This window comes from Homo sapiens, chromosome 3 (assembly GCF_000001405.40).
Source record: "Homo sapiens chromosome 3, GRCh38.p14 Primary Assembly".
NCBI classification, from domain to species: Eukaryota; Metazoa; Chordata; class Mammalia; order Primates; family Hominidae; genus Homo; species Homo sapiens.
Genome location: NC_000003.12, coordinates 197569277 through 197582650, shown reverse-complemented (window position 1 = coordinate 197582650; position 13374 = coordinate 197569277). Strand labels below are relative to the sequence as shown.

The 13374-nt window shown below is 45.8% G+C and overlaps 1 protein-coding gene and 1 pseudogene across 4 annotated transcripts in view, besides 2 other annotated features; both read left to right on the top strand.

Moving 5' to 3' along the window:
- RPL36P7 (ribosomal protein L36 pseudogene 7) lies at positions 2022–2301 on the top strand (annotated as a pseudogene).
- Positions 2067–2613: an enhancer, noted in NCBI's record as "OCT4-NANOG-H3K27ac-H3K4me1 hESC enhancer chr3:197306909-197307455 (GRCh37/hg19 assembly coordinates)". NCBI's record gives its function as "activates a minimal SCP1, AML or CMV promoter by ChIP-STARR-seq in naive H9 embryonic stem cells {active_cell/tissue: H9 hESC(naive)}" and the evidence as "EXISTENCE:reporter gene assay evidence [ECO:0000049][PMID:30033119]".
- Positions 5810–6311: an enhancer, noted in NCBI's record as "H3K27ac hESC enhancer chr3:197303211-197303712 (GRCh37/hg19 assembly coordinates)". NCBI's record gives its function as "activates a minimal SCP1, AML or CMV promoter by ChIP-STARR-seq in primed H9 embryonic stem cells {active_cell/tissue: H9 hESC(primed)}" and the evidence as "EXISTENCE:reporter gene assay evidence [ECO:0000049][PMID:30033119]".
- Positions 9308–13374, top strand: part of BDH1 (3-hydroxybutyrate dehydrogenase 1) — a 63561-nt gene continuing 59494 nt past the window's right edge. For 3 of the 4 annotated variants that reach the window (NM_203315.3, XM_047448679.1, XM_047448680.1), the window contains exon 1: positions 9308–9470. The gene's annotated coding sequence lies outside the window, so the exon portion shown is untranslated. Of the gene's footprint in view, positions 9543–13374 lie in introns of all 4 variants that reach the window. The other variant, XM_005269352.4, reaches the window with a different exon arrangement.

The following is a 13374-nucleotide window of genomic DNA, read 5'->3' as shown; positions in this document are numbered from 1 at the left end:
TTTTTTTTTTTTTTTTGAGATGGAGTCTCACTCTGTCTCCCAGGCTGGAGTGCAGTGGTGCGATCTCAGCTCACTGCAACCTCCGCCTCCCGGGTTCAAGCTATTCTCCTGCCTCAGCCTCCCAAGTAGCTGGGATTATAAGTGTGTGCTGCCACACCCGGCTAATTTTTGTATTTTCAGTAGAGACGGGGTTTCGCCATGTTGGCCAGGCTGGTCTCAAACTCCTGACCTCAGGTGATCCACCCACCTCAGCCTCCCAAAGTGGTGGGATGACAGGTGTGAGCCACCACGCCTGGCCATTCATTTCTTATTAGACTCCAGAGTAGAACTTTTTCACAACTTTGTCCCTGTGATGTGCTTTCCTTGAAGATCCTTTCCCTCAGAGAACTGACAGATAGTAAAGAACAGCCAGGAAGAGTGGGCTCTACCGTTCTTCAGGGCTTGCCTTTGGCTTTCTGCCCTCAGAACCAGGAAAAAGAGAACACTTGCTTTTTGTCTCACCCAGCCTCAGGGAGCAGAAATGCTAGAGAAATCCCAAAAGCTTAGGTAAAGATGGGCATAGATAGGAGTGGCTGTCCCCAGGAAAGATGGGCGTAGATAGGAGTGGCTGTCCCCAGGAAAGATGGGCGTGGATAGGAGTGGCTGACCCCAGGAAAGATGGGCGTAGATAGGAGTGGCTGTCCCCAGGAAAGATGGGCGTAGATAGGAGTGGCTGTCCCCAGGAAAGATGGGCGTAGATCGGAGTGGCTGTCCCCAGGAAAGATGGGCGTAGATCGGAGTGGCTGTCCCCAGGAAAGATGGGCGTAGATAGGAGTGGCTGACCCCAGGAAAGATGGGCGTAGATCGGAGTGGCTGACCCCAGGAAAGATGGGCGTGGATAGGAGTGGCTGTCCCCAGGAAAGATGGGCGTAGATAGGAGTGGCTGTCCCCAGGAAAGATGGGCGTAGATAGGAGTGGCTGTCCCCAGGAAAGATGGGCGTAGATAGGAGTGGCTGTCCCCAGGAAAGATGGGCGTAGATAGGAGTGGCTGACCCCAGGAAAGATGGGCGTAGATCGGAGTGGCTGACCCCAGGAAAGATGGGCGTAGATCGGAGTGGCTGTCCCCAGGAACTTCTCCGCATTAGGCTGTGCTTGTGGCATCTCTCAGGTCCCTCCATTGCTATCACCTCCAGAATCAGAGGCTGCCTTACCACATGTGTGAGATTCCCTTCAGTTAGCTCTGAGCCTTTGGCCAAGACTGCACAAATGTCTTAGCCTGGTTTCAGAACAACTCTGCTCTCCCAGACCCCATTCAAATGAGGTCTGCACCTGTGCCTGGGTGGAAAGGTAGTGGAGAGCAGTCCCTCCTGAGGACAGCTTGGGGTGGTAGTAGCAATGCAGGGGGATACCTACGGGGAGGGGAACTCTGGAGGTGAGAGTTGGGGCCGCCTTATTCCCCAAATGTCAAATTTTTTGCTCCTCTGATTACCTTGGAGAATCTTGATGGATATTTTTTTTGGTGCCTCAGTGAACGGGTGGGGGGGAATGTGGTTTCTAAGAGGCCTCCTATCTTGAGCTCAGGATCCCTTCTGAGCTTAATATTATATATCTTTAGATTGGCTCTTTCTCATTGGCTCTGATTGGCCTGCCATGGATCAAGGGAACACTAGAATTAATCAGCTGGGGCCAGGAAGGTAGAGTCGTTCCAACAAGAATCAGGTACAAAGGGTTGGGGCATGGAGAAGGCCAGGATGCAAGGAAGGGCCATCCCAGAAGAGCAGCCTGATGGGCAGATGATATTTTTGGTATAGATGGACCATCATTTCTTTAAACATTCCATCATTAAGTTATTTTCCATTTTTTTCTGTTGCATCGAATACCTATGTATGCACATCTTTGTGACACATGTTACTATTTTTGTAGGCTAGAGTCCTAGAATGGAATTGCTGAGTCAATGGGTATCATGCATGCTGCTAAATTATTTTCAAAACCTATTGCGGTTTTCACTCTTCCAACACATCAGCCATCGGAGAGCAGCAGCCATGGCTCTGTACTACCCCCCGGCTGAGGGCCTCAGCGAGGGCACAGGTGATCAGCAACGTAAGCAAGCTCAGGCACACTCACCAAGTTCAGCAGGACATGATCTGAGAGGTGCGTGGCTTTGCCCTGAATGCGCGGCATGCCATGGAGTTGCTCAAGGTCTCCAAAGACAAATGGGCCCTCAAGTTCATCAAGAAAAGGGTGGGGACACACATCCACACCAAGAGGAGGTGAGAGGAGCTGAGTGACGTCCTGGCCACAATGAGGAAAGCAGCTGCCAAGGACTGAGCTCCCCTTGCTCTGCATAACAAAACCTTTTTTTACAGAACAAAAGATGGCAATTTTCACTCCTGCCAGCACCTCATTGTCTCCAGTGTTTTTCATCTTCACCAATTTGATTGCCAAAAATTTTTTTATTTTGCGTTTTTAAAATTATGATTCATCATAATTCAGTGTGTCTTCTTAGGTTTATTAGCGATGCTTTTCTTTTTTGTGATTTATTTATCCTTTGTGTATTTTCTCAATTAGTTTGTTTCTCTTTTTCTTATTCATGTGTAGAAACACTTTACGTTTGTGAATTTTTAACTCTTATCTTTTATGTACGTTGCAAATGTTTTCTCCCTGGCAATGATGTGAATGGTAGCGCTCTTGCACAAAAGTTTAGGTTTTTGAGTCGTCTAATCTTTCGCTTCCATGTGTCCTGGATATTGTGTCAGAGTTAGCAAATCCTTTCCAACCTCAAGACTATAGAAATAGTCTCTTATATTTTCTCATAGTATTTTTATAGTCTTAGTTTTTATTTTTTGATCTTTAATTCATGTAGAATTTATTATGTGTGTGATATATAAATGTACAATTGTTTCTACGCCATTAAACAATCTTTTTCATTGGTAATGCCACTCTACTTGTGTATTAAATTTTCATTAATTTGTGGATCTGTTTGTGAACTGCCTATTTGTTTCATTAATCTGCTTTTTCTATACACGTACCAGCACCATGTCATTGTCTTTTTAATTAAAAAAGTTTTATTTCAAAAAATGTTTTTACATACTTGTCTAATTAGCGTAGTTTTGTAGTATGTTTTTATCTTATGATGCATTTTAAAATGTTTTCCTGCATAATTTTGCATATTTATCCATCAGAATCAATTGATCACATTTCCTTCTGCCACTCCCACCTCCAAGCTGCACTGAATTCTAGATAAATATGGGGGGGAGATCCATCTTTTATAGTGTTGCTTTCCTATCTGAAAACATGGTATATCTCCTTATTTTTCTTTTTCCTTTCTTTCTTTTTTTTTTTTTTGACACGGAGTCTAACTTTGTTGCCCAGGCTGAGTGCAGTTGCATGATCTCGGCTCACCACAACCTCTGCCTCCCGGATTCAAGAGACTCTCCTGCCTCAGCCTCCCAAGTGGCTGGGATTACGGGTATGTGCCAACACGCCCAGCTAGTTTTTGTATTTTTAGTAGACACGGGGTTTTTCCATGTTGGTCAGGCTGGTCTGGAACTCCCGACCTCAGGTGATCTGCCCACCTTGGCCTCCCAAAGTGCTGGGATTACAGGTGTGAGCCACCGCGCCCGGCCCATCTCCTTATTTTCAATCCATCTTTCATGTCTCTCAGTGATGACATACATTCTTTATGACTCTACATTTTCTTGTTGTCTTTAGGTTTTATTACCATTGTGACTTTCATCATTTCTTCTACTATATATTCTGAATGGGAAAGCTTTTAATTTTTCCCTGCATTTGTTTTGTATTCAACCAATTTCCTGAATTCCATTATTATTCTAATAATTTTAGCGCTGACTTTCCTAAATATTCTGGGTTAATAATACTAGTTAGTACCTGAGTAATGGTGGTTTGTCTTCTTTTATTTATACTTCATTTCTTTTTCCTGCCTTTTGTCCTCGCCATTGCAGTGTCTTGATGGGATGTCTCTCTTTGGCACCCTTTGGGATATGACTCTGAACTCTGCCTTCTGGCTGCAGTCCCCTCAACTCTGGATGGAGCTCTATTATTTTTGTGTGGGGGTGGGGGCTTATCTCCTGAGCCAGCCTCTGCTTGTCAGAACACACTCTTCCTGCAAGCATGGTTTCCACGGGCCCCTGCTATGGCAGCCACAGCCTCACATCGTGAAGAACACACTCTTCCTGCAAGCACGGTTTCCACGCTCCCCTGCTGTGGCAGCCACAGCCTCACATCATGAGGATGATACGCAGCCATTCAAGGGATAACCTCTAAGGACAGCCTGGCATGTCTGAACTCACTTCTCTTCCCACTGCCAGTTGAGCCTTGCCTTCTAGCTCAGTCAGCACTGGGAGACTAGGCTACTCAATCTGGTGGTCTTTTGTTTCCAGCTCTCCCCAATATCCCTATTGTGCATTCCTCATGCCCCATACTCTCCTTGACTTCCCCTAATTGACCCCAACTTGTGTCCTACATCCTTCATCTCCCCAGACCTGACCTAATGATTGGAGAGAGGAAGCAGGATGTTGAGCGAGGGAAGCTGAATTTCTCCTGCACTGGAGCCTGGCTGCAGAACCTGAGGAAGTAGGAGGGATGAAGAAGCAAGAAAGCTTCCAGCAACCTTTAGTCAGCCTCAAGAAGTCTCCGGCTAGGAGGCAATGCTAAACCAGGACAACCTAGAGATACCCTGGCTGGCCAGGGCTTCCTAAAAAAGACGTGTTGCTGGGTGGTTGCGTTGCCTTAAGAACACACCCATTACCCAGTGAATCTGCCGTGAGTCAGAGAGACGCCCCTGAAGACACATTACCTGGAGGAGATAAGCTCCCCAGCCTCCCCCACAGCCATTCCCCAGTCTCTTCTCTTCAGCTTCTTCATTTCTCCTCCTTCCAGTCTGGCCACTGGCTCAGGCCACAGCGGACACCCTGTTCACAGCCTGCATCACCCTCCTGAGACAGAACCTTCTCCAAGTGTTTGCCTTTGGGCAGGTCCCAAGGTACCACCTGGAGCTGCTGGAAAGGGTAGTCCTGACAGCAACCCCCTGGTGATCCGGTCCTTGCTAGCTCCTCCCCCGGCCTCCCTGTAATGCTGGGTGCAGAGGGATGCACCAGGGAGCTGCGTGTAAGTGGTGAACAGGAGAGCGTCTGGGTGACTGAACGGGGAGAAGGGAGGGGAAAGGATGGGAGAGGCTGAAGCAAACATCTTTGAGGAAAACGGGTAATGACGGAGCTGGTAGACAATGGTGAGAGAAGGAAGGGTGACACTGAAAGTAGTCATGCTCCTTTTTATTTAATTGAGATCTTCTTTTTCTCTTTTTGCCAATTAATAATATGTTTTGGTCTGGGGGATGCTTGGGAAGGCCCCATTGTTCAAAATATCTCTTTCAGGAACCTGGAACACCACCATTTGAGACTCACTTCTTTAGGTCTTGAGGGCTTTTTGGTCTTTGAGATGCTTTTGTGTAAAGTTAATGCACCTCCAGTGCCCTCTGAACAAAGGCCGGTGAACGTGGACTAAGCTTCCCTGGCCATCCTTGTCTCCTGCAGCTTACCCTCCTCCCCGCCCCAACCTGAAGGAGTAGCTCCCTCCCCGTTGAGAGCTCCATGGCTACGCCTAATTTACATCACCCTCCCCAAGCTGGAGGAGTAGTTCCCTCCCCATCCCAGAGCTCCATGGCTTTGCCTAATTTACATGACCCTCCCCACGCTGGAGGAGTAGTTCCTTCCCCGTCCCAGAGCTCCATGGCTATGCCTCACTTGCCTCACTGGGCCCAAGCTGTCCTGGAAGGGAGGAAGCTGCGGATGTGTCTGTTCCCTTCCTTGGGCTGTGAGCACCTGGATGGCAGGGACTACAGAGACCCCAGGGGGTGGAGGGGGTGAAAAGCAAGTTTCACATGTCCTGTTTGGCCTGAGACCAGGCCCCTACCTGACTTATGCTCCAGGTCGCAGACAGACCAATTCCACAGCAGAGGAATCTATTTCAACGTTGTATCAGACTCCAGTCTAGGAAGCAGACCACACTGAGTGAGTATATCAGTCAGAGTTCCCCAAAGAAACAGAACCAGTCTATATACAGTGGTGTGTGTGCGCGTGTGTGTGTGTGTGTGTGTGTGTGTGTGTGTGTGTGTGTGTGGAGAGAGAGAGACAGAAAGAGAGAGTTTAGAAATTGTCTCATACGACTGTAGAGGCTTTGTCAGAGGCATTTGAACCACAGCAACTCCATCTTGAATAGGGGCTGGGTAAAATAAGGCCAAGACCTACTGGGCTGCATTCCCAGATGGTTAGGCATTCTAAGTCACAGGATGAGATAGGAGGTCACAAGATACACGTCATAAAGACCTTGCTGATAAAACAGGTTGCAGTAAAGGAGCCGGCTAAATCCCACCAAAATCAAAATGGCCATGAGAGTGACCTCTGGTGGTCCTCACTGCTACACTCCCACCACCGCCATGACAGTTTACAAATGTCATGGCAACATCAGGAAGTTACCCTAAATTGTCTAAAAAGGGGAGGCATGAATAGTCCACCCCTAGTTTAGCATATCATCAAGAAATAGCCAAAAAAAAAAAAAAAAAAAAAAAGCAACCAGCAGCCCTCAGGGCTGTTCTGCCTATGGGGTAGCCATTTTTAAAAATCATTTACTTTCCTAATGAACTAGCTTTCATTTTACTCTATGGACTTACCTTGAGTTCTTCCTTGCATGATATCCAAGAACCTGCTCCTGGGGTCTGGATTGGGACCCCTTTCCTGTAACAGCATGGTAAGTCCAAAATCTGTAGAGTAGGCTAAGACCCTGGAGACTCAGGGAGGAGTTACAGTTTGAATCTGAAGGCAGTCTGCTTGCAGAATTTCTTCCTTTCCTGGGGAAGTCAGTCTTTTTCCATTAAGGCCTTTAGCTGATTGGAAGAAATCCACCCAGATTATAGAGGTAACTGCTTTACTCAAATTCCATCAGTCAAATCTCATTCAAAAAACACCTTCACAAAAACAACCAGAATAATGTTTTGAGGTAGGATTTTTGTTCTTGGTCACTTTGCAAGCTGGAAACCCCCAGCTGGCGATGTCCTGTCCAGACCTCCCTCAGCCAGGCTGGCATGCCCCAGCTTGCCTGTGTTATAGGTTGTACCTGCATTCAATGGTTCCCGAGCTCTTGTACCACACCAAGAAGAATGAGGATATACTGGACATTGAAGGGTGATGGGGGTGGAGAAGAATTTTATTGAGTGACGGAATGGCTATCAGCGGAGAGGGGACATAGGGGGTGGCCCCCCAGCCCCACAGTCGGGTGGTTCTCACCTCCCCAAGTGGCTGGGTCTGGGGCTTTTTATGGGCTCAGAATAGGGGAGGGGCAGGCCATAGGTAGTATTGGAAAAGGCAACATTCAACTGGTTAAAAGGCATTATTCAGAAAGAATCAATCAGGAAAGGGTGGGCAAACAGGAACAGAAGTTCTAAGTCTGAGTCGTGGGTTTCGTCTGGGACCAGCAGTCCAGCCTTTCAGCTCTGTTTTTGGCTGGAAGGTGGGGTTTCACCAGGGACCCACCCCCACCTGCCAATGCATTTGGCTGCATCCCGTGGCTATCAGTTTGACCAAATATCTGGGTACTGAGCCGCCATGAGGAAAGCAGCTGCCAAGGACTGAGCCCCTCCTCTGCATAATAAAACCTTTACAGAAAAAGAATTTACAATTTTCACTCCTGCCAAGTTGACATGTAAAATTAATCATCACCAGTCTGCTCCTTGTCAATCTGGGACCCACACATCTCTCCTTAAATCATACTTCACCTTCAAGTAAAGACAATAACAAGATCGTAGTTCTGTCTAACATGACACAACTATCCTTGCTACAACTGCATCCTACTGCACTAATCCTTTTCCCAGAAGAGGATACAAAGTCCTTAGGTGTGTGAAAGGAAAATAAATCTTGGGGCCCCAAAATCACTAAGCTAAAGGGAAAAATCAAGCTGGGAACTGCTTAAGGCAAACCTGCCTCCCATTCTATTCAAAGTCACCCCTCTGCTCACTGAGATAAATGCATATTCTGCTGGCCCCTTTGGAGAAGCTAATCAGCAACTCAAAAGAATGCAACCATTTGTCTCTTATCTACCTATGACCTGGAAGCCCCCTCCCTGCTTCAAGTTATTCTGCCTTTCCGGAGGGAACCAATGTTCATCTTACATATGTTGATTGATGTTTCATGTCTCCCTAAAATGTATAAAAGCAAGCTGTGCTCCAACCACCTTGGGCACACGTCGTCAGGATTTCCTGAGGCTGTATCACAGGAGTGCGTCCTTAGCTTTGGTAAAATAAACTTCCTAAATTGATTGAGACTTGTCTCATTTTGAGGGTTCACAGGTGATATTTACTTATTTGAGATCCTGTAACTTAAACACTATGATGTAAAGTTAGCAATATTAAATTCTATGAGATAAAGTAATGCATCTTATGTTACACGATAAATGAATACGAAAGGGAAGAAAACAAAGGTGCTATACGCACACTAACATATTCATAACAAAATAAGGAAGAAACACTCATGACAATTACAGTTCTGGTTTTTATACCTGGTCATGTAGTTGTGGCTGGTATTGATAACTATCTTATTTCACTACTCATTCCATATTCCCTTTGCCCTCAGCAAGCACCTGAGTGGCCATGGATCGTTGCCTGGTGAGGTGACCAGAACCCTCGTTCCTAAAGGGTCTGGGGTCATTAGTAGTTCTGCCTGGATTGGGTTGTTGTAATTTTCCACTGACTTTAATCACAGGGCATGGGAATACTGAGAGACGTCCTATGGTATCTCCTGTATTTCAGACATACTCTTCCTTACCTCCACTGTGACATTCAAGGGGTATGGCTTTGGCCCCACCTTCTTGAATCTGCCTTCAGATTCAAACTGTAACTCCTCCCTGAGTCTCCAGCCTCTTCTTGGAAATGGCCCTATCTAAAAACCACTTGGCCATTTTGAAATCTTTCTCAGGTCCTGATTCTGGGTTATGCTCAGGGCAGTCTCTGAAGATTTCTCATCCTGTTCAGGCCGGTTCCTTGCTAATTTATGCCCACACATACCTGGCAGGGAGAGCTAAAGATGGAGTTGGTGGGAGCTGCCCTTTGGCATCATTGATTTTTAATGTATTCCTAAGCAGCAGCATCTGTCCTTGATCCTCTGCTTGTCAGAAGGCCAAACTCACAGACATTTTAAGCTTAAAACAAACAGTTACAAAGCTGTTGAACTTTGCCTGTGCAAGGACAAACACAAAAACATCCCAAGGCCCACCCCCCGCTGACCCCCACTGTACTTGTCACACATATGTGAGAATTTCCATTCTCAGCTAAAGGCAAGCATTGAAAGAATACACAGAAAGCCTGGAAAAGGTTTCCAGGGGTGTCAATACGCCCTGTCAACTGAGAATTAAGAGGATCCGGCTGGTCACTTGCCTGGAGAGGATCCTGCATGCTGATAGTGCTGAGGCACCTGCCAGCTAAGGTGAGAGACAGCTGAACTTGAACATGTGGGCTGTCACTGAGAGCGGTCAGCAGAAGAAAATTTGAGCCATGGGTAAGGCCTGGTAGAAAGGGAGGAGGTTGGGGAGGCGTGAATAGGCCTTTGGAAAGAGGTGCTGTTAACCCAAAACAGAGAGGCAGCAGCTTTGCAATTAGATTTTCTTTTTGAAATAGCAGGCTCTGTCCCTGGTAGCAATAGGGATAAATAAAAAGTAATATGTATTCATTGGGAAAATAATTGGAAAAAGAATTAGGCAAAATAAGCATGTGGTTTTGTATCTTGTTTTTTAAAACAGCTTGTTGTAATACATTAGATATTCTTTGAAAAAAATAGAATTTGAAGTTCAGAAAATCAAATCAGTTTTAGGGATTGAGAATCTCACTACATATTTTGTCTTTCAAAATTGTTTGTTTATTTATTTATTTAGAAATGGGGTCTTGCTATGTTGTCCGGGCTGGAGTGTAGTGGTACAATCATACCTCACTGCAGCCTCAAACTCGTGGGCTCAAGGGATCCTCCTGTCTCAGTCTCCTGAGTAGCTGGGACTATAGTCAGGCACACCTCACCTTGTTCCCAGACCAAACTGAGGGTCGGGCTGCTTATTCTTGCGGCCCAGTAATGAGATGCAGATGAACTGGGAAAGAAGGGAGTTTATTGCTGTAACTGGGTACAGGGAGGTCTGGAAAATATCACCAGAACAATTCAAAATTACAAAGTTTTCCAGAGCTTATATACCTTCTAAGCTATATGTCTATGTGTACGTGTGCATTCATCTAAAGACATAAGTAAGTGATTAACTTCTTCTAATCTATAACTAAGATCTGAGTCCTGAAGGCCTTCCTTTGGAGCCTTCGTAAATTCATTTAATCTAAATGGGTGAAGGTGCTGGGGTGATTACCCTTATCTTGTGTCCTGCTAAATCACAGGGTTTTGGGGAGTTCCTTTAGTCCCCAGTAAAGCTTGTTTGTGAAGGTCTGGGGAGTTCCTTAAGATCCACAATAAAACTTGTTTAATCCTAAATGGGTCCTGTTAAGAATTCCTTCATTATTTTGTCATGCTTTAAGGCCCAGGAAAGGCCTAGGCAAAACTCTTGGTGGGCTTTTGTTACATTCAAGCCTTTGTATAGGGCACTGATGCTATCAGCTTTTAATATTTAACCTAACCACTCAGTCAGTGCTGAAACAGTTGTTATGGAGGCCTACCTGTTCAGCCATTATGGAGACCTGGCCTGCCACAACCTTGCCTGGCTAACTTTTAAATTTTTGTAGAAACAAGGTCTTGCTGTTTGCCTAGGCTGGTCTTGAACTCCTAGGGTCAAGTGATCCTCCCATCTTGTTCTCCCAAAGTGTTGAGATTACAGGCATGAACTACTATGCTTGGCCATCTTTCAAAGTTTATATGTGTATTCATCCATTTCCTTATTGCTGATAAAGGCATACCCAAGAATGGGTAATTTATAAAGAAAAAGAGGTTTAATGGACTCACAGTTCCACATGGCTGGAGAGGCCTCACAATTATGGCAGAAGGCAAAAGGCACATCTTACATGGTGGCAGGCAAGAGAGAGAACGAAAGCCAAGTGAAAGGGGTTTCCCCTTGTAAAACCATTAGATCTCATGAGACTTATTCACTAGCATGTGAAAACTACGGGGGGAACCACCTCAACAATTCAATTATCTCCCACTGGGTCCCTTCCACAACACATGGGAATTATGGTAGCTATAATTCAAGATGAGATTTGGGTGGGGACAGAGTCAAACCATATCATTCCACTCCTGGCCCCTTCCAAATCTCATGTCTTCACATTTCAAAACCAATCATGCCTTCCCAACAGTTTCCCAAAGTCTTCACTCATTTCAGCATTAACTCAAAAGTCCACAGTCCAAAGTCTTACCCGAGATAAGGCAAGTCTCTTCCACTTATGAGCCTAAAAAACAAAAAGCAAGTTAGTTACTTCCTAGATACAATGGAGGTACAGGCATTGGATAAATATACCCATTCCAAATGGGAGAAATGGGTCAAAACGAAGGGGCCAAAGGTTCCATGAAAGTCCAAAATCCAGCAGGGCAGCCAAATCTTAAAGCTCCTTTGACTCCATGTCTCACATCCAGGTCATGCTGATGCAAGAGGTGGGTTCCCATGGTCTTGGGCAGCTCTGCCCCTGTGGCTTTGCAGGGTACACCCTCCCTCCTGGCTGCTATCATGGGCTGGCATTGAGTGTCTGTGACTTTTCCAGGCACATGGTGCAAGCTGTCAGTGGACCTACCATTCTGGGGGCTGGAGGACGGTGGCCCTCCTCTCACAGCCGCACTAGGCAGTAACCTAGTGGGGACTTTGTGTGGAGGCTTCAACCCCACATTTCCCTTCTTCACTGCCCTAGCAGAGGTTCTCTGTGAGGGTCCCAGCCCTGCAATAAAATTCTGCCTGGACCTCCAGTTATTTCCATACCTCCTCTGAAATCTAGGTGGAGGTTCCCAATCCTCAATTCTTGACTTCTGTGCACCCACAGGCTCAACACCACATGGAAGCTGCCAAGTCTTAGAGTTTGCACCCTCTGAAGCCGCAGCCTGAGGTGTACCTTGGCACCTTTTAGCCATGGCTAGAGCAGCTGGGACGTAGGGTGCCAAGTCCCTAAGATGCACACAGCAGGGGGCCCCTGGGCCCAGGCCACGCAAACATTTTCTCCTTCTAGGCCTATAGGCCTGTGATGGGAGGGGGCTGCCACAAAGGTCTTTGACATACCCTGGAGACATTTTCTCTATCATCTTGGCAATCTGGCTCTTCATTACTTATGCAAATTTCTGCAGCCAGCTTGAATTTCTCCTCAGAAAATGCGTTTTTCTTTTGTATTGCGTCAGGCTGCAAATTTTCCAAACTTTTATGTTCTGTTTCCCTTTTAAAACTGAATGCTTTTAACAGCACCCAAGTCACACTTTGAATGCTTTGCTACTTAGAAATTTCTTCTGCCAGATATCCTAAACCATCTCACTCAAGTTCAAAGTTCCACAAATCTCTAGGGCAGGGGCAAAATGCTGCCAGTCTCTTTGCTAAAACATAACAAGAGTCACCTTTACTCCAGTTCCCAAGTGCCTCATCTCCATCTAAGACCACCTCAGCCTGGATTTCATTGTCCATATCATTGTCAGAATTTTGGCCAAAGCCATTTAACAAGTCTCTAGGAAGTTCCAAACTTTTTCACATTTTTCCTGTCTTCTTCTGAGCCCTCCAAACTGTTCTAACCTCTGCCTGTTACCCAGTTCCAAAGTTGCTTCCACATTTTCAGGTACCCTGACAGCAGTGCCCCACTCTACCAGTACCAATTTACTGTATTAGTCTGTTTTCTTGCTGCTGATAAAGGCATACCCAAGACTGAGTAATTTATAAAGAAAAAGAGGTTTAATGGACTCACAGTTCCACATGGCTGGGGAGGCCTCACAATCATGGCAGAAGGCAAAAGGCACGTCTTACATGGTGGCAGACAAGAGAGAGGATGAAAGCCAAGCAAAAGGGGTTTCCCCTTGTAAAACCATCAGTTTTTATTCACTACCAAGAGAGAAGTATGGGAGAAACTTATTCACTACCACGAGAAAAGTATGGGGGAAACTACCCTCATGATTCAATTTTCCCCCACCAGGTCCCTCCCACAACACATGGGAATTATGGGAGCTACAGTTCAAGATGATATTTGGGTAGGGACACAGCCAAAACATATCAATATAATCAACCAGAACCTATAACTTTTCCTCATTGAAGACATCAGAAATTGCCACCTGTATTGTACTAATTGAATGAAATTTCTGTGTAACAAAGCCATTCCAGCTTCTGTTGGATTATCCACATGAATGATGCCCAGCTGATTATAAAAAATTCTGTACTCCATGCTGAGTT